The following is a 21,262-nucleotide window of genomic DNA, read 5'->3' as shown; positions in this document are numbered from 1 at the left end:
CGGAGGCTCCCCAGGCAGGGCTGTTTGTGGACATGGGGCGGCCTGAGGGGTGGATGCCACCCTGGGGGGCCAGCCTGCCCCCAGCCATTGCAGACAAGAGGGCGCTGTCTTTTCCCAAAGGCCGAGGTGGGGGCCCTCCACTGCCTGCTGTCTGGGTGCTGGCGGCGGTGGTGGGGGGCAGAGGAGGAGGGGGAACCCGGGCATCTGGGAGGCCCAGGAAAAGGAAAAGCGGGGCGGCTGCAGCCGGGCGGGTTGCTCGCTGGGGGTCCCGCCCACCCTCCACACACAGAGAGAGGGTGAGGAGCAGAGAGGGGAAGGGCTGCCAGGGGAAGGGCTGGCCCGCCCTGTCCTAGGGAGCCCCTGGGCTTGGCCTCAGGGCCGCCTCTCCCTCCAGCCCCCTGTCCTTGGTCCAGCTGGCTCAGCTCAGAGCCCTGAGGACATGGACACAGTCGTGGCAGTCACTCGGGAAAGAAGCCCTCATGGGGCCCAAAGGAGCCCAGGCCCCTCACGCCCCCCACAGCTCTGGCCGTGGCAGCTTTTCCACAGGACAACGTGGCCCGCGGTGAAGGCTGCCAACAGCCAGAGATTAGACGGGTCCAGCATCATTTGGAAGCCAGTGCTGTCTTGGGAAGGGCTCCTGGGGCAGCAGCGGGACCGGGCCCAAAGCTCCTCCAGCATCAGCCTGGGCTCCTCAGCACGGAGCAGTGGCCATCACCAGCGGCCTTCGCAAGCCTGGGCACCGGCTGGGCCGGGCAGTGGTGAGGCCGTGTCTCCCAGATAGGGTGGGGCGAGGGGGTGCCCGGGGAGCCAGGCATGAGCACCTCACCCTAACCTCAGCCCCGGCCATGACAAGCTGAGGGTGGATTTGCCTTGGGAGCCTCCCGTGGGGAGGTTGGGGGATGCACGGTCCTTCAGGCCCCTCAAGGGAGCCTGACTGGCTGCCCCTCAGGACTCAGAGCTATTCCGCCATCGTGCAGTCATGGTTTGGGGCCCAGGCACAAAAACATCTTCCTGGTCGTTGTAAATATCAGTATGATAACACAGAAAGCTCTGAAAGTTTCTGAAACTGCCATAGTTGGTAACTTGGGCTAAACCCAGGGCTGTGTCATGTTGGCTTTGACTTACTCAGCACGCTCCCCTCTCAGGGCCTCCTGTCCCTCCCCAGGCCTGGTCTCCCTGTCCCCAGGCGCACGGCGCACACACACTAAGCGCACAGCCCGGGGCAGCTGCCCAGAGTGACACGTGCATCTCCAGACACCCTCCTGCCAGGCACCACCAGCCTGTCTCATCTCAGAGAGGCTCCTGGCAGAGGCAGATGAGTCAGCGGGGAGGGATTTTGCTCTGGCCCCCAAGAATAACCAGTAAACCCATCCTGGAGTAAAACACCAGCCGTCCATCACCAGCAGCCAGGACAAGAAGGGACAGCCTGGCCAAAGGGCCTGATAACAGGGATATGGGGAGGACTTGGGGCAGAAATGAGCTGGGCCTGTGGCCCCTGTGAGAATGTTTCCAGAAAGCTGGGGACATGCCCCCCACCAGGATCCAGTTCTGCCAGGGAACCCACCCAACAGACCCAGGGAAACGTGAATCTGTGCACAAGAGGGCAGCAAAGTGGGGCCCAGAACCCTGCGGGTGCCTCCTGGGACCCTGGGCGCTGGCTTGGGAGGGTCTGACCCCCAGCAAAGGTTGGGAGGGCCGGGGTGAGGCAGGGAGAGCACTGGGGGCCCTTGGTCCTGGCCACCCCTGTCCCTTGCCCTCCCTTCCCCTCCATGGCTCTCACTGCTCCCTGCCAGACATCCCCTCCTGTCTCAGTTCACTGAGTGTGCCTGAGGGAGAGCCTGGAACAATTCAATTGGCAGAGGTGTCGGGACAGAGCCTTGCACAGAGTGGAACAACTCTCAGGTGCAGCCGGCTCTTGCTGGGCCTTAGCAAACTCTTCAGTAAAGTGGGGCTGGAATCTCAGCGTCAGCCATTGTCATGAGGTGTAAGTGAGAAAGCATAGTAAAGCATGTGAACTCAGCGGGAATGGATGAATGGATGGATGGATGAATGGGTGGATGGATGGATACATGGATAGATGGATGAATAGATAGTGGATGAATGCATGGATGATGAATGGGTGAATGGATAAATGAGTGGGTGGATGGATAATGGATCAATTGATGGCTGGGTGGGTAAATACATGGATGGATAATGGGTGGGTGGGTGGACAGATCGATGAATAAATGAATGAATGGATGGATGGTGGATGAATGAGTGGACAGATGGATGGATGGATGGTGGATAAATGGAAATGGATGGATGGTGATGGGTGGGTGGATGAGTGGTGGAATGATAGATGGATGATGGATGGGTGAATGGGTGGATGAATGAATGGATGGGTGGGTGGGTGCATAAATAATCGGTGGATGGATGAGTTAATAGATGAATGTGGCTAAATGGATAATGGATGAATGGGTGGGTGAGTGGGTACATGGATGGGTAGAAGAATGGATGGATGGATGAATAATGGATGAATGAGTGGGTGGATGGATGGATAAGGGATGGATAATGGATAAATGGGTAGGGGGATGGATGGATAGATGGGTGGGTGGGTGGATGGATTGATGAAGGGATGAATGAATGAGTGGATAGATGGGGGTGGATGGATGGATGTTGGATGGATAATGGATAGATGGGTTGGTGGGTGAATAAATGGATGAAGGGAAGGATAACTGGATGAATGGGTGGGTGGGTGGATGGATGGATGAAGGGATGAATGAATGGATGGATGGGTGGGTGGATGGACATGGATGGATAATGGATGAAGGGATGGATGGATGGATGGATGGATGGGTGGGTGGTGGGTGGGTGGATGGATAGATGGGTGGGTGGATGGGTGGGTGGATGGATGGGTAGATGGATGGGTGGATGGATGGATGGATGGAACAACCTATTAACACAGTGAGAAGGTCCTGCAGCCCGCACCTTAACCCTGTCAGTGCCTTCACCTGTAGACTGGGTATGTGACATGCCTCGTTTCCCTCTCAGAGCAGCTTTGAGGATCAAATGAGGTAGCACACATTTGAAAAATACTCTGACAACCATAGTTGAGCTACAGACATTAGCTGTTATAATCTAGATTAAGTGGTGTCTAAATTTGTGAAAAGTCTATATTAGAGGGTTTTTAAAAAATTTTTCCTTTATTTCTTTCAAGTCTATGTCATTACAAGAACTAATTGCTAATAGCACATTTTCAAGTCAGGTCCTGCTGGGACCTCCAATGAAAAGGAAAAAAAATCTCATAATTAGCAGCCTTATTTGCATGCAAACAATGAGTATTCTGAAAGTCTTTAAAATGCTCCCATGAGGAAACACTTGCATTCTTGTTTTAAGAGATTAAATTGCTTGGCAAACCCCCTTCTCACTAGAAAGTCAGAAGGTAAACTTGAATCCAGCCAAATCATCGTTAAGTTCCAATTATTCCAAATTCCAAATTAAGGTAGTCTCAGTTAATAAGGTTTCCAGGTACAGTCCATGAAGACACAAAAATTAGAACCATCCGTGAATTCAGCGACCCTCATTTTCTGGGTAGACACACACAGGCAGTTCCGTGGTCAGTCTCCAGGTTCCATGCTGCGGGAGGTGGCTGGTAGTGGCCCTCCCTGCAAAGCAGTGTAGCCTTGGAGAGGCAGTGGCCGAGCCAGGCAGCAGCGTGTGGGGACATCAGGATGAGAAAGTGCAGTGCGGCTGGGTGGAGGCGGCGGAAGGGAAGAGGGGAGCTCCCAGGACACTGACAGCCACCCCGACACCCCGAACTGTGTGGGAGGAGTGGGGGATTCCCACGCCAGCTGGACATGGATACATTTTTGTTTCCCTATTGCTGTTTTAAAAACTGTGAAAACCTCCTCTGTCTTCCCCAGGATTCTTTTGTTTTTCCTCCAGGTAAAGGCACATTTGGCAGCCAAAGCTGTTTTTCAACCTCTGGTGCTTTCCCTTCCGATTAAAGTTACAGGAGGCCCTGAGGCAGAGCTGGTGATCACAAGCCTCTCTCTTGGCTAGACACGCAGTTTTTATTTGAATAGCATTATTGTTGTATGGTGTAAAATGCAGGGACAATGGAAGATTGACTACTGCACTGACTCAAATTTGGCCAAGGAAGCTCTGAGACATCAGCATCAGAACTTACGCTTTCAGCCAAGAAGGACTAACAGGGACCAGATTTACTCTTCCATGAAAACAAGTTAAAAAATGGACAGAATATCTGAAACCTGTGTTAGGCATCAGACACCAGGCACCGAGAGACCGTGGTCCCTGAGGAGGGCGGGCAAACAAGGTGGGGCCCAGTGCACGGCGGGCGTGGGTTCCAGCCCCAGTGCAGGGAGAGGCCCCAGGCAGGGCTGAGGAGAAGGAGCCAAGTCCAAGGAGGAAACAGAGGCTGGAGGTCTCAGGCTGGATCTCCAGCGAGGAGAGCTGCCCGGAGGGAGGGCTCTGGGATCTGCAAGGGGAGCCCCGAGTCTTCAGTCAAGGGTTGACCAGCCCAAGAGGCTTCGGGGAGCAACATGGGGTCTCACTCAGAGCCGGGAGTAGCCCTCATCCCGCTGTCCACAGTGGAAACACTCGCAAGGCACCAGGCAGTGTCCTGAGAAGGGCTTTGTCTTCACAGTGTGAAAAATTAGTTGGAGACTAAACACTGCTCAGGTCCCACCTGATGAAGCCAAAAAGCAAGGATGACCCAAAAGGATCAACATCTTCCAAAGCTCAAGATCAACACCTTCCAAAGCTCCAGATCAACACCTTCCAAAGCTCAAGATCAACACCTTCCAAAGCTCAAGAGAATGAGGCAGAACTCACAATGTCTAGCATCTGATCAGAAATTAGCAGCATTCAAAGAAGCAGGAGAGTACAACCTAGAAGAAGAAAATTGAATCAGTTAAACCAACGGTGAACGGAGCAGATGAAGAGTTAGCCACAAGACAGTAGAACACTTACTACGACAATCTTCCCGCATTCAGGGAGTCAGAGGGGAGGCTGAGAATGGAAGGCATAAAAATTCCCAAACCAAACTTCAGGAGTGGAAAGCTGCAGCACTGGAGTTGAGAGGTGTAGTGGGCAGGCTCCATGGCAGATGAGACGGTGCAGAAGGAAAAAGCCAGTAAATTTGAAGACGTGGCACTAGCGACGATGTAAAATAAAAACAGAGGAAAGGTCTGAAATGCAGACTGTTCATGAACCGCGGGCCAGTGTCAAGCAGCTTAACACATGTGCAGCTGCAGCTGCTGGAGGAGGGGGCAGGATATTGGAACAGAATGGCTGACATTTTTCCATGTTTGTTGAAAACTACAAAAAGAAAGGAAGGGAAGGACGGGCATACAGATTAAGATGGAAGAAATGGCCTTATTTGTAGATGACGTGATTGTCTACACAGAAAACCAAGGAATCTACAGCAAAACTAGGACTTATAAGTGAATTCGCAAGCTCACAGGATAAATGTCAACCAACAAAAGTCAATCGCATGTCTATGTACTAACACTACACACGCGGAAATCTAAATTAACAACACACCGTTTACGCTTGGTCCAAAGAGAATGAAATCTAAGATACAAACCTAACAAAACACGTGGAGTATCTGTATGCTGAAAATTTTAAAAGCTGATGGAAAAACTTTTCTTGAGAGCTACATATATGAGATGTACCATGTTTGTGGACTGGAAGATGTGAGACAGTAAACGTGCCAGTGCTCCTCAGATTGGTCTACGGGTTAAATACAGTTCCCACCAACATCCCGGCAAGGTGCTTTTGTAGATATAGACATACCCATTCCAAAATTTATAGGGAAAGACACAGGGCCTAGAATAGCTAAGATAATTTTGGAAAAGAATAAAGTGAGAGAAATCGCGGCACTAGATTTCACGACCTCCATGGCAACGGTGACGCTGACCGGGTGGTACTGGGGACAGACAGGCACGGAGGCCAAGGAAATAGGGTAGAGAGCCTCGCTGAGAGCCGCACCACCTTGCCCAAAGCACACACGTGGCTGTTCTGCAAACAGAGCTGGAGCAACTGGACATGACACGCACAGGGAAAAGGGACCCTCGGGCTGAGTTTTACATCTTCTACAAAAAATAACTCAAAATGGATCACAAACTTAAAGCTCAGGACTACAGAACTTGTAGAATAAGGTCCAGGAGAAACTCTTCCGGACCTGAGGCTGGGTGAAAACTTCTTAGGCTTGACACCAAATGCACGACTCGAAAAAGGAAAAATAAAAAATTGGACCACATTGAAATTGAAGTTTTTCTTTCCTAAAGATCCTTTTAAGAGACTGAAAAGACAAACTGCAGATGGGGAGAAATGTATCTGACAAAGGGCTTGCACCTAGGATGTATAAGGACTCTCAAAACCTGGCAGTAAAAAACAAACAGACAGAAGGCCCCAGGAGAGGTTCACCAGCTCCAGATGTGTCCAGATCCAGAGACGGCAAATGGTGCGCGAAGGCGTCCGGCATCATCAGCCGTTAGGGAGGTGCAAGCTTAGGCCGTGATAAAGTCTTACCGCACACCCGTCAGAACGGCTAAAATAAAACCAGTCACTCCTGCATTGCTGGTGGGAACGTGAAATGATAAAGCAACTCTGGAAAATTGTTTGGTAGTTTTAAGAAAAGCTAAGCATGTACTTACATATGACTCAGCAACTGCACTCTTGGGCCTTTATCCCAGAGAAACAAAAATGTGCATTCACCAAAACCCTGTACACCACCAGTGTCCACAGCAGCTTCAGTCATAATAGCCAAAATGTGGGGAAGAAGAGAAGAACTCAAATGTCCTTCGGTGACTGGATGGTGAAACAGACTGTGGTACGTCCACGCCATGAAACAAACTGTGGTACGTCCATGCCACGAAATAAAGGAGCAAACGCCAGACGCAGGTGACAGGTGGGTGGCAGGAGAGCTATGCTGAGTGAGGAAAAGCCAGTCTCAAAGGCTGCAGACTGACTGCAGGTCTAAGATGTAAATTGTAAATATGGAGAGCACATGACTCGTTGTAGGGTGCTGGGGATGGAGGAAGGGTACAGGCTTGGCTCCAGAGGGGCAGGAAATCTCATAATGGAATATTCTGTATCCTGACTTTGGTGGTGGTTACATGAAATACATTTGAGGAAAAAGTTGCATAGAACTATACACACCCACAAATACATGCATGTAAAGCTAGTGAGATCCACATACGCCCTGTAAGTGGTACCAATGCCAGTTTCCACTTTGGGGAGACACATGAAGTTCCAACAGGACCTGTCTGTACTACTTTTTTTTTCTGGCAACTTCTTATGAATCTATAATTATTTTAAAATAAAAAAATTAAAAAGAAAACAGACAAAGTAAAGGCTGATTCACATATGCAAAAGTCAAAATGATTTACCACCCCCAGAGCTGTACTACACGAACGTTAAAGGAAGTCCTTCAGGAAAAGTAAACTGAGTGGAAATCTTGATCTTCAGAAAACAGTGAGCAGTGCTGGGAAGGGATAAGCGTGAAATGTTTGTAATTTTTTTTATTACTTAATCTCTTTAAAAGATAATTGACTATTTCAAGCAAAATATTAAGAATGCATTGTGGATTTATAACATACACAGATGCAAGACGTTTGATAACAATTGCATGAAAGCTGGGTACAGGGAGGTGGAGGTCTGCATTTGGGAGGTTCTTATCCTATTCACCCTGTAGTGACAGCACTCAAAGGTAGGCTGTGGATAAGCCAAAGAGGTTACCTGTGAACTCTAAAGCAACCACTAAAGTATCACAACAAAGAGATAGAGAGATACAGAGAGAGAGAGAGAGAGAGAGACAGAGAGATAGAGAGATAGAGAGAGATAGAAATATAGTGATATATAGAGATAGAGAAATGATACAGCGATATAGAGAGATAGAGACAGAGAGAGATGATATAGATATAGAGATATAGAGAGAGAGATAGAGAGATAGAGAGAGATGATATAGATATAGAGATAGAGAGATAGAGATAGAGAGAGATAGAGATATAGAGAGATAGAGAGATAGAGATAGAGAGATAGAGATAGAGACAGAGAGAGATAGAGATAGAGAGAGATAGGGAGAGATAGAGAGAGAGATAGTGATATAGAGAGATAGAGAGATAGAGATACAGATAGAGATAGAGAGATGATATAGAGAGATAGAGATATAGAGAGATAGAGAGACATAGAGATAGAGAGATATATATAGAGAGATATAGATAGAGAGATAGAGATATAAAGACATAGAGATATAGAGACATAGGGATATAGAGACATAGCTCAGACACCAACAAAGGAGAAAAAGGGGTATCATAAAAATACTTGACGTAATCCAAAAGAAGGCAGGAAAGGGGAAACAGGTATTGGATCAAATGAAAAACAAGAAGAGCATAGCTCTAAATCTAACATGATCAATAATTAGATTAAGTGCAATAGTCTAAAACACCCCTCTCGGAGGCAGAGATGATGAGATTATACAACAAGTAAGACCAGACTAGATGCCTGCAAGAAACCCACTTTGTATATAAAGATATCCAGGCTGAGTTTCCCTTACCCCAAATGCTTAGGACCAGAACTGTTCTGAATTTCAGATATTTTCTGGTTTTGGAATATTTGCATTACACTAGTTGAACATCCCAAAGCCAAAACATCTGAAATCTAAAATGATCCAACAAGCATTTCCTTGGAGCAGAAAGTTTCAGATTTGGGGGCATTTTGGATTTTAGAATTTCAAATTTGAAATGTTCAGTCTATAGTCGGGTTAAAGGTTTGAAAATGAATAAATGTCTCCGATGCACCCTAATCAAAAGCTTGATCAATATCAGACCAGGCAGATCTTATAGCAGAGTATTACCAGCGACAAGGGGAGAAAATTCATGATAAAGGAGTTGATGAACTTGGAGCTCTCAACGATTCCAAATCACCAACCTTCAAAATACACAGAAGAAAACCTGACGGGGCTACGAGGAGAAAGAAACCCATAAATTAAAGTCTGAGGCCAAAACGCCGCTCTCTTCTCTCTTAATAGTGATTGATATAATGAGGAGATGGAAAGTCAGTCAGGAGCTGAAAGGCCTGAACACCAGCACCGGGCAGCTTGACTTCACTGAAATTCTAAGAACACTCCACCCAGTAATACAGAAGACAGATTTTTATCATGCACTCGGGAACGTTAGCAAGACAGCCTCCATTCTGGACCATGAAACAAGTCTTAATGCATATAAAAACCAAAATCATATAAAGTGCATTCTCTGAACAATAATGGAATTAAGTTAGAAAACCTGGAAATTCCCAAATATTTGAAAACTCAACACTTCTCAGTAGGTCGAAGAAGCAGTCAAGTGGAAATTAGAAAGGATTTTGAATTTAATAAAGTGAAAACAAACCACATTTGTGGGATGGAGCTAAAGCAGTATGAAGGGCACCTTATAACACTACGTGCCTATATCAGAAGAGAAGAAAGTTTCAGATCGATGACCTCAGAGTTTACCTTAAAAATCTAGATAATGAAAATGAAATTCCAAGTAAGCAAATGTAAAAAAATAATAAATATCAGAGTTTATGATATTTGCAATCAGAAGCCGGTTCTTTGAAAGGATCAACAAAATTGATAAACTTCCCACCAGAATGGTCAGGAAAAAAGAGACGACGCACATGGCCCAGGTCACGAGCGAGAGAGGGGACGCCATCTGGTTCTGCGCATGCTGGAGGATAGCAAAGGACCCGCAGACACCTTTATGCTGATATGTTATCCAGCTGGATGAAATGGACACATTCTAAAGGACATCAACTACCAAAGACATAAACACATTCTAAAGGACATCGACTACCAAAGACATAAACACATTCTAAAGGACATCGACTACCAAAGACATAAACACATTCTAAAGGACATCGACTACCAAAGACATAAACACATTCTAAAGGACATCGACTACCAAAGACATAAACACATTCTAAAGGACATCGACTACCAAGGACATAAACACATTCTAAAGGACATCGACTACCGAAGACATAAACGTCAAAACACAATGAACACTGTATCTATTAGAGGAATTAGTAACTAGCAATCTTCCTGCAGAGAAAACTTCAGGCCCAAATGACTTCATGAACTCCACCACACCAGTTTTACACAGACTCTTCCAGAAGCCAAGAGGAGGCACTTCCCACCTCATTCTGAGGCTGGCGTTACTCTGGAGCCGGAACCAGACAGACACGTTAGAGGAAGGGGCCGTGCTGCTCACCGACCCCTCGGGTGTGGGGTGGCGACTGTCGGGCAACGCGGCGAAGGGAACGGGGGTCTCCATCCCTGACTTGATCGGTTTTTCCACTCTCATTGTTTTCCTGCACCTACTGTCAGTTTAGATTTTAAAGGCCAGGAGAGTGATAAGAGCAGGGAAGAAAGGGAGGAAGAGATTTAGGAGGCTGTGAAGGGAAGAGAAGGATTTGGGAAGAAGGTTCCAGCGTGACTTAGACCTGCTTAGACATTAGAGCGTGAGAGGCAATTCTCAAAAAGGATTCCTGAGTTCACTCTGTCTTGTAACTCTCCTATTCACAGGCTGAAACTAAATCCCCAAAGGAGCTCCAGAAAGCTATCATTTAAAGTTAGGCCACTAATTATACTGTTCCATTAATTAAGGAGTATTTCAACTCAACCCTCTTTTTTACTGGACATTAAAAAATTACTAATCGTTTATCGGTTGGAATAGAACCCGCTTATAGTGGCCTTCCATGGAAACAGCATCTCAGAGAATTTGCTAACAGTTTTAGGATTGCTGTGAATCTGAGCCCTGAGAATTGTGGGCAAATTGGAATGTGTGGAGAGACACATGGGTGGTTGGAACCTGGAGGTGCTGGGACCCGGAGGTGCTGGGACCCGGAGGTCCTGGGATCCGGGGGTGCTGGGGCCCAGGGGTGCTGGGATCCGGAGGTGCTGAGATCTGGAGGTGCTGGGACCTGGAGGTGCTGAGATCCGGAGGTGCCTGTGAGACGTCTGCAGAGACCAAGTGCCCACCCAGCTCCGGGGCTCTCAACAACCCCCCTTCTGGGGATGCCAAGGTGGGCTCCCTCCCTCAGCTGATGCCCAGTGCCACTCACACAGCTGTGAGGCAAGATCTGCCACCCCCGACCTTCAGGGAAACACTCCCCTTTCCAGCCTCAATTTCCTCATCTGGAGAATTGAAGGGGTGCCTCCTTCGCCACAGTCCCATCCTGGAGGCTGAGATCCGTGGGTAGGCAGGACCCCCTGCCAGGAAAACAGTGCTAACCCCAAACCCAGTGAGTGAGTGTATCATGCTGTCTGCGGGAAGGGCTCAGCGCGCAGCTGTCTCCCATGAGAACCACACCCAAGAAGGCACAGACACCCCCACCGCAGAGAGGGTGAGGTGTCTGCTGAGAGCCCACAGCCACGCCGCACGGACAGCGTTCCAATGGTGCCACTGGGGGCCTGCTTTGCCTCTGGGTAGGACCTGTCCCCACATCTGTGCTGGGCAGCGTGAGAGTGGCGTGGTGTTTGTGCTACCCAGGGACCCCGTAAGGCAACATACACACTACCAGGGGTCTGTGGAGCCAGCAGACCACTCAGAAACAAACATGCAGTTTGGAAAATGCACCTCTGCAGATTCTCGGCTGGGAAAAGCCGTAGGGGGTGCAGTGGGAGCCCAGACCGTGCACCTAATGCCCAGGTCGGAAAAGTGGGCATGGCAAGGAGGGGAAATGGCCCATGAGAGGCTGAGTGCTGTGGGCCTGAATCACCCATCTCCCCCTGTCTGGATGGGACCCAGATCACCCCCAGCTCCTCCCCATCCAGATGGGACCCAGATCACCCCCAGCTCCCCGTCGTCCGGATGGGACTCAGGCTGCCCCAGAATAGATGTTCGTGAACATTTCCCTCCTTTTTGGGAAAAGGGCAATGCCTGCTGGACACAAAAGTGCTCTTTGAATTAAACTATTCACAGCAGCGGCAGCGCATCCGCCCTCCGGCCGCACTCTGAGGAAGGAGCCACTCCGCTCTGTCCTGCTGGGAAGATGGGACCCAAGTCCCCCGTGCTGAAAAACTCGTCGATCCCAGAGAGAACAGCCACATGGAGATAGTAGTCGCTTTCTGACGACACAATCTGGAAAAGGCCAAGTGGCTCTGCAGCTGTGTTTATAGAAAGGTCGGGATGCTGAGTTCTAGGGTCAGCAGGAAAATCGCTGCATAGATGTCGGCAGAAGCTGCTTTCCTCATGAAACACGTTCACTGGCGCGATTTCGTCTCAGCACCGACGTCCTCACCAAGACTCTTTTCTCTAATTTATATGTGAAGTAAAATGAACGCGTGTCATCTGGGGCTCTGTGGGCACTGTCGCGGCAACTCAGACACTGCATTTAGGTCCTGGCGGAAACCCAAGGCGGGGGGGTCTGCTGGAGGGGGCTGCAGGCGGAGACAGGAGGGTCTGCCGGGGGGCGGGGGGCTGCAGGCGGAGACAGGAGGGTCTGCCGGGGGGCGGGGGGCTGCAGGCGGAGACAGGAGGGTCTGCCGAGGGGCGGGGGACTGCAGGCGGAGACAGGAGGGTCTGCCGGGGGGCGGGGGGCTGCAGGCGGAGACAGGAGGGTCTGCCGAGGGGTGCTGCACGCAGGCACAGGGGACAGCCACGGGGACTGCAGGCGGACACCGGAGGGGTCTGCTGGGGAAGCTAGGGGCAGGCATTGAGGGGCTGCAGGCGGGCACAGGGTAGGGGTTGGCCGGAGGGCTGCAGGCGGGGTCAGCTGGGGGGTCTGCTTTCTGCTTTGGTATAAATGAACGTTTAGTCATCTTCTACCTAACTTAATTTTTTTGGCATAAATAATTATAAATATGATGTGCTTCACATATGTGATTCCAAATTAGGTTAGTGAGCCAGGATCTGTCTTAGGGATGGGTAATTTAAAAACTGAGGAGGAGAAAACAGTTCCTCAAAAAGTTAAACGTACAATGACCGTAATACCCAGGAGTTCTACTCCCAGGGAATATGCCCCAAAGAATTGAAAACAGGGACCTGAACAAAATTCAGAACACCAACGTTCACAGCAGCGCGGCTGACAATGGCCAGGAGGTGGGAGCCACCGTGTCCGCCAGCTGACAAAGGACCAGCACGACGTGGGGTCCCCATCAGCTGGGGAACGTGACTTGGTCATAAAAAGGGAGGAAATACTGACCCACGTGACCACATGGATGACCTTGGGAAACACATGACCTTCAGAAACACTACGGGGAAGACGCCAGCCGCAGAGGGCCCCACGTTCATGATTCCGTTGGCATGAAATGCCCGGACAGGCACACCCAGAGATGTGTGAACCCGAGGTCCCAGGGAGGAGACGGGGAGCAGCTCCCAAGGCCACGGGGGTTTCTCCGGGTGTGGCAAAAATATCGTGGACATAAAGATGGCGGCCACACAACCTTGTGAACGTACACCACAGAACCACACGTTTTAAAGCGGTTGCTTTAATCTTAGGTGAATTTACAATGTTAAAAAACCCACAAAGCTGGTCCGGGGCTTCTCTTAAAGAGGTTATTTTATCTCGGCGTCAGCGCACCCTGAGCGCGCTCCAAACACTCACTCAGGTGTAGCTTGTTAATTTCAACACGGGACGTATTTTTAAAAATATTCACGTTGAGACGAGACAGCCTCCGGTGATGTCACTGGTCAGGACGCCATGTGGGGAACGTGGCGGAACTGGCGGAAACAGCTGATTTTTTGGGTCCTTCTCTAGAAGCGGGGCCAGGGTGCGTCCCGGGTGGGGAGGGGAATGCTGGGGCAAGGGGCCCCAGGCTGTCCATATAACGAGATGCCCTTGCCAGGGCCGGAAGCTCAAGCACTTGGGTCTTTCCTGGGCTCCACTTGGCTCTGAGGGGAAACTTGATACTCATATTACTTTTGTGCCACCCAGTCTCTGCTCAGGAGCAAAGCAAACGTGATCTTACGCGCAGATGCGGCTGCTTTGCCTCTGGCTGAGTCTCAGAAAACGCCCCATCCCTAAGGTTCCCCCAGGATTTCGGTCACCGAGGACCGCGTGCTAGAGGCCAGCAAAGACCAGGAAGGTAGTTCCACTGCCTCCCGAAGCTGACCTCTCTCTTAGCTTTCCAGGAAAACGCAGTCTTGGTTCTGGTGTACACGAGGGTGGCACACGTAACTGCCCAACAGCTTTTCCCCCCGACAGGCAGAACCTCTGGCTGGAAATCAGCCTGTGGGTGCATTTTTCTAATTACTCAAAATCAACCTAAAAGGCACAAACACTAAGAGGGTTATTCGCAGAAGCTCAACCTCTTCTGCAGAAACCATCACTGTATACATTCATAATTTTGGAATATTCTGTTACTGGGGTTGAGGACAACCAAGGAGGTTTCACAAAGTCACTTTGAAACCAAGAAAGAGCTTCCAGTGCATTCTGGGTGGACAGCTCCGCCCGCTTCGGCAGAGGGAAGCGAAGGGCGCGTGCTGGCCGCCTCCGGGTTGAACAGTCCAAGGCTCTGTTAGGCCCCGACTGGGGCCAGTTGGAGAAAAGCAAGGGCTTAACCAGCTCTCCCCTACTTGCTGAGAGCTGAGGGCTCCCCCCAGAACAGTGGCCTCTGTGCTCTCCTCACGCCACCCCACGCGGGACCTCCCCTACTCGGAGAGCCGAGGGCTCCTGATGCCTGTGAGGTCTCCTCCCAGCTCCCCCAAACGCCGGCCTCTGTGCTCTCCTCACGCCACCCCACGCGGGACCTTCGACGACGTTCTCAGGCTCACTTCAGATATTGTCAAACGCAGAAAACTGGGGGATAGATGCTTACTAATCGCTTTAGGTGGTGATGACTTCCCTAGTCCTTTAACTCAATCTGTACACCTCTGAGCAAAAGAAATCAGAATTCTTGCATTTTATAAAGTCCTAAATGAAAAATGTTCCTGAAAGATGAGAACAATAATTACTGTAGAAGTTCCAAGTTTCATATTTTAACTCATGGCCAGGTAATATTTTCCCACCCAAACGTGAAGTAGGGAGCTTTGGTGGGGAAAAGGGGAAGAGCAGCTTTAAGAAGCGGGGAGAGACGGTGAGAACCTGTGGGTTTCCACACGTTTCCTCGCCAGATGATTGTCAAATGGCGTGTGACTGTGTGTGTGGCCAGAGCCTCACCCAGGATATTCCTCTGAGCAAAAACATTTGGCACTAGCAGGAGTTCCTTCTCCACCTCGCCCGGATGAACATTTCTGAGCTGCTTCAGTTACAGGGCCTGGGAACTATCCGGCGTCTCGCAAATTTCTACGGCAGGTTTTTACCTAAACATAGAAGAAAGGGAACAGCTCTACTGGCAAGATGCCCTTCCAACGGCGAATGGCCGCGTCTACACAGCCTTCCCAACACGAGGTTCATTTCACAGACGATCCAAGTACACGCCACTGAAAACACACTCTGAGAACAAAGCGGCATCTTCCACGCGTATCATGAACCACTCGCAGACTACGCCTGTCCAGCAAAAAAATACGGCTTTATTGGATCTATTTCCTAACTACAAAGACAGCTGACACAGACATCAAACGTTTCCTTTTCAATGACAGTCCCCTGAGAAAGGCTGCACGTGACTCCTACAGTGCCGGGTGCAGGGTACCCAGCCGCAGGTGGGACGCGGCCACACGTCTTCACGGTTACGTGCAGACCGACGGGATGGCCTTCAGGTTGTTTCTTTCCGTGAGTGAGACACAAGAGACGCGATTGTGCCGGAGCGCACGGTACAGGCCGTTCCTTCTGCGGGAGCCCTTTCTCCATCAGCGACGTTCTGTTCAGTGACTTCACAGCCGGAGCCTCCACCCGCAGGTGCAATTCAGGCAGGTTCCATAAGGGGGCATTAATTCCTAAGGCACGAGTTCAGGTCAACCGTGTTTCAATGAATAAACCATGCTTTTTGGTTATATGGAACAATAGATCGCTGTGAGTAATCATACGTAATAAGCAACTAATTGTACAGAGTGCCCAGCAAGGCCTACACAAACCTACCTGTTAACAGTAACTCATCTGAAAACACACAACGCAGGGCTGAGCATTAAAGTGGCGTTTTTGGTATTGGTTTTCTTAGATGAAGCAGAGAGTGGTAAGGCTTCTGTGAAACAATCATCTTATAACTGAACAAATATATTACACTTAGGTTGCATGTTATTTACAATCACTTTCTAATGTTGCCGTCTGGTAACCTACAGCTACTGTCAATCACAGCTCCTGGCTTTCTAGGGTCCTCCTCGAACTGCGTGAGACGAGAAAATGCACGGCCGTCCGAGGCGGCGATGGACGCCAGCAAGAGCAGCGACTGGAGCCCCAGACGCAGGTTCCAAAACGGATGCCGGTTATTGCTGACAGGGAAGCCCTCCTGGGCGAGGACACGTCGGCTCTGTTATTATTTATACATAAATAGATGCCTAGATATGTACACACATGCAAATGCAGGCTATCCTGTAACAGGTTTTTCTGCTTTTGTCCAGTAACCTATTGATGTGCTATTCAAGTTACTTGTGCTATGTTCGAAGCCAGATTAAAAACAAAGATGCGAGCATGCGACTATGAACAAGCCTACGGTTTCAACCGCGCAGACAAGGGAAGCATGTTACAAAAGAGCTGAGATGACAGACTGGAAGATTCTAAAATGCACTGTGTAAGGCAGCAGGAGTGTACGTGACAGCCCAGGAAACGTTCCAAATGTTGGAGACTCATACTAGAGTCCTCTCGCAGCCTTCCAGCGTTCTCTTCATTCATACAGAGGGTAAAACCTCACAATGAAATGTGTTTGCAGTTTCTGCTCCTAAAAATACTCCTACAGTAGCAAATTCAATGCTCAATTCTATGATGCCCTGATGGTCTGGTTAAATAAGGCACTTCCAGTATTGAACCCCAGGGGTGCCAGAAGGGCTGGGCGTGGGGTCAAACTGCGTGTGGGCCGTTCCCATGAAAGGCCCCTGCACGGTGGGTCTCCCGTGCTCAGCCCGGCCACCTCCCTTCTGTTGTCATGAGATGACTTCTCCTCCAGGTGACACAGTGGTCTCCCTTCCTCCCTGCTTTCCTTCTTGTTGGAGAGCCAATCTTTGCACATATTAATGTTCAGCTCCTGGCATTCAGTCAGTTGGAGGTTCTGAGTGGTACCAGGTGTGAGTTCAGTTTATTTATTCAAAAGTCTTTGTCTGCTGAAGTCAGCATACCCCTGCTGAACTGAGTGCTCCAATGTGGCAACTAGGAGTGGGTGCTCGTGCTGGAGAGGTCATTTCGTATTATTTCATTTACTGTAAGAAAAGAAAAATTGAGAAAGTATTAGAGAAATACCATAAACATCAAAGCAACGCCCCCAGCCCTGCTTCTCCATCAGTGACGCTCACGCCTGTGACAAGGCATCTCCCCAGGAACCCACATTTCCTCCTCGGTCCCACCCTGGTCCATGAGTGTCGTGAGCCAGTGCCTGGCTGCCTCGGCAGAGAGCTGGGGTCGCCAGAGTGACCGCCCTCGTCCGTAGCACGGTACCAGCACGTCTCTGACGGCCAAAGTGCAGGTGCCAGGTGCCGGCCGCGATGCTGGGAAGATGCTGTGGCTGTCTCTCCACGAACCAAGCGACCCACAGGTCCACACCAGCACTTCTGTGGTGTCAGCACCAGTGTCGCCTGAGCCTCCCTCTCAGGCTCTTCCTGATTTTTATTTCCCTTTGGATGGCAGAGTCCCTGAGTCCCCCACAGGCCAGTGACGTTCCCCGTCACCTGTGACTTCTGGCAGACGCAGAGGAAACGAGCGGCACTGTTAGGGCCTTTGTGAGCTGCATGCATCCCCGCCCCACCCACCTCCTGCTGTGGCCGCCCTGATGGGCGCTGAGATAGGGGATGTGCCACCAGCACTGTCGCCACGTCCCATCTCCCTCCCAGGTTCTGGTGGGGCGTGCGCTGACGTCACGGAACTGCCCGGGCTTCCCTCTGCCATGGGCTGGAGCGCCCAGAGCCCAGATAAGCCCCACGTGTTTCTGCAAAGGCCCCGGCCTGTCTCAGGGCGGCTTCCTGGAGCAATTAGTAGTGTGCATTTCATCACCCCACTCCCTTCCCCAAATTCCCTTTCAACAACCCCCGACTATTTTTAAGAATAACAATAATAAAACACAGATGGAGAACCAGGAATTGTGTCATGGGAACTGATAACAGGACACACTGGCACTGAGCTCCAGGAGGAACCCTGGCTGCAAACACACACCCGAGGCTGGCTCGCCCAAGGCTCTGCGGGGCCAGAGACCCAGGCAAGCAAAGGTGCCCCACATGCCCGGCCCCGCCAGCAGCACCTCCTGACATGGCGCCCACAGAAGGTCCCGACTCTGTCCCGTGTGGGAGCTCAGCCTCTGTAAAGACACAGGCACGCGTGGGCTCCCCGCAGGCCCTGCTCAGAGCCACGCTGATCCTGGGCCCTGCCCAAGACGGGACCTGGCACTCAGCCACAGGACGCAGAGCCAGGCTCTCTGCAGAGGGCTCCGCCCCCAGTGTGGAAGGCACCAGAAGGAGCCCGGGCTCCCGCCCCTCCGTGTGACTCTTCACAAACACTAAGGAGGATAACGACAGGGCCCAGGTGCTCGCAGGCTGCTCCCGGACTGGCACGCAGGACCTGACTTGTCCCAGAGTGCGCACGGCAGCTCCTCACCAGAGGCACTTTCCGTGACACTCGGGCGGCGCTGCGGGGCCTCGGCACAACGCAGAGAGAAAGACGGCTCTGTTCTGTGTGGGGGTCGCACGTCCCCACCCAAATGCCCTAGGCTGCTGGTTGCTCAGCGGCCTCCCGCCCACTGTGCTGCTGAGTGCAGCGGCCCCCAGGAGCTCCGTGCCCTGCTGTGCTTGGCATCTGTGGCACGAGACAGGGATGCCCCAGAATTCGAGACCAGTTAACTCCTTTCCCACTGCGCTGGTTCAGCCTTGCTACAAAAGACGTCTGCAAAGAGGCAGGAGGAGCCACCTGCCCAGGAGGAAGACACGGTGGGGGTTCAGGTAGCTCAGAACAGGCCCCACCTGTGGGGGAAGGGAGGCTGCCCAATGCATGAAGAGACTGGGCTCAGGTCCTCATCCAACCCTGGCCAGCGGAGCTCCAAAAGAAAGGACTCCAGTCAGAATAGTGATTGTGGGGACGAAAGAGGCCTAAATGATCAACACAGGGGAAAGGTGGGGACACTACAAAGAAATAATGAAGCCATGAGTGGACCCTGAAGGGTAACAGCGACAGGGACAGGAGGGAGGCCTGAGAGGTAACGACGGTGGGACGTGGGGAGGACTGAGGGGTAACGACGGTGGGACGTGGGGAGGCCTGAGGGGTAACAACGGTGGGACGTGGGGAGGACTGAGGGGTAACGACGGTGGGACGTGGGGAGGACTGAGAGGTAACGACGGTGGGACGTGGGGAGGACTGAGGGGTAACGACGGTGGGACGTGGGGAGGCCTGAGGGGTAACGACGGTGGGACGTGGGGAGGACTGAGGGGTAACGACGGTGGGACGTGGGGAGGACTGAGAGGTAACGACGGTGGGACGTGGGGAGGACTGAGGGGTAACGACGGTGGGACGTGGGGAGGACTGAGGGGTAACGACGGTGGGACGTGGGGAGGACTGAGGGGTAACGACGGTGGGACGTGGGGAGGACTGAGGGGTAACGACGGTGGGACGTGGGGAGGACTGAGGGGTAACGACGGTGGGACGTGGGGAGGCCTGAGGGGTAACGACGGTGGGACGTGGGGAGGACTGAGGGGTAACGACGGTGGGACGTGGGGAGGCCTGAGGGGTAGTAATGATGGGATGTGGGGAGGCGTGAGGGGACAGGATGGGTGATGGTGACAGTGACAGGGTGGGGACGGCGTCTGAGGTCTCCATCGTGTTCGTGGGACAGGCCGCCTGCATGGCCGCCGAGAGCCGTCTTGTTCCCCGCGGGCACAGGAGGGCGCGTCGCTGAGGGTGAAAGGGAAGCGGCATGGCCATGGGGCTTCCCCTTGCTGCCCACGAGCACCTGAGCCTCGGTGGGAGAGCCCGTCGGGGGGCGGAAAGTTCCTCGGTGTGTCCCCCGGCCACCCAGGTTCCCGTCGGGGGCCACCACAGCCTCCTTTGCTCTCTCTGCCTGGGTCTGCGGCTGCTGAGCTCTCGGGAGGGGAGGAGGGCCGACCTCAAGAGAGCTGTCGAGGCCTAAGGAGCCAGCGGCAGCCTGCACCTCACTCCTGCGGGCTGGCGGTGCGTGTGGGCCGACCCCGTCCCAGCGCCGGGTCAAGTGTGTTCCACAAGGTCTCAGACGCTGCAGGGACGCGTGGCCGGGACCAGACACAGCCCAGGCACCCTCCAGGGCCTTCCCGCTGCCCCATGGCAGCAGCTGACAGAGAGCGGGATGGACAACCCTGACACCACTCAGCAGAGGACAGCACAGCAACCGAACCGCAGAGGAGGCTGTACCGCCCACCCATCCACACCGCGGACGAGAGCCGTACGTGGAGCCGTGCTCGCCCCGCAGACACGGCCTGTGCCGTAGCCCTGAGAGGAAAGCCACGGCTTCCCCTTTCACAGGTGGACAACGGGCCCATCCTGGGGTTGGTCTGAGGCCATGTGGCTCGCTGGCGCTGGGCTGAAAGACAGGACCGCCCCCCCACCCCCCAACTCCTTCCCGCCACGAGCACTTCTGACCCATGAGGTCAGCCACAGCTGCCCGGCCCTGCCCTTGCTATTCCGGGGGCGGCTTCCTTGGGTAGGGTATGGTTGCCGATGACACCTACGGTTTCCCATACCAGCTCTCTCTGCTGATAATTTCCATCTTCTTATTCAGCTTTTCCACAGACACAAAGGGTTTTTTCCCTTCCTAGCATATTTTGAATTGCAGGTAGCATGTGACCCTCACGGCGTGTGGGAGACCTGAAAGAGGAAACTTACTTTGCCTAACGTCAGATGTCCCCGCAACAGGATGTGGTGAGCTGTTATACCACAATTTAATTTAATAAGGAGGGCTTTTTTTTCCCTTATATTAGATTTTTCTCTAAAATACTCCTCAGGTGGAAACTATTGTTTTTTCCTAAAACTCGACTGTGGCGTTTTGAATCCTGGCTGCAGGCTGAGAGCCTCCCTCGAGGCCACATCCACACACCCACACTCATACCCACCTCTCTATACACATCTGGAATTGAGTGAAGGAGGAAATCAGTACATTTTTAAATATAAAAACTACCAAGTACAAGGGCAGGCATGGCTTTCACTGCCTCACCTGTGAATCTTATCTGTGCCCTTGCTG

The 21,262-nt window shown here is 51.7% G+C and overlaps 1 protein-coding gene across 8 annotated transcripts in view, besides 1 other annotated feature; it reads right to left on the bottom strand.

Annotated features, from left to right (window-relative positions):
- NFATC1 (nuclear factor of activated T cells 1) overlaps positions 15,478-21,262 on the bottom strand; it is a 133,394-nt gene continuing 127,609 nt past the window's right edge. For all 8 annotated transcript variants that reach the window (NM_001278669.2, NM_006162.5, NM_001278670.2 and 5 more), the window contains one exon: positions 15,478-17,273. In NM_001278669.2, the coding sequence (NP_001265598.1) occupies positions 17,224-17,273 (50 nt within the window). In that variant the 3' untranslated portion in view covers positions 15,478-17,223. The remainder of the gene's footprint in view (positions 17,274-21,262) is intronic.
- Positions 20,018-20,087: a silencer, noted in NCBI's record as "silent region_9576". NCBI's record gives its function as "represses an Ori minimal core promoter by ATAC-STARR-seq in GM12878 lymphoblastoid cells {active_cell/tissue: GM12878}" and the evidence as "EXISTENCE:reporter gene assay evidence [ECO:0000049][PMID:35858748]".

The sequence above is a fragment of the Homo sapiens genome, chromosome 18 (assembly GCF_000001405.40).
Source record: "Homo sapiens chromosome 18, GRCh38.p14 Primary Assembly".
In the NCBI taxonomy this organism is placed as follows: Eukaryota; Metazoa; Chordata; class Mammalia; order Primates; family Hominidae; genus Homo; species Homo sapiens.
The sequence above is the reverse complement of the archived record's forward strand: the minus strand, read 5'-3'. Positions and strand labels throughout refer to the sequence as shown.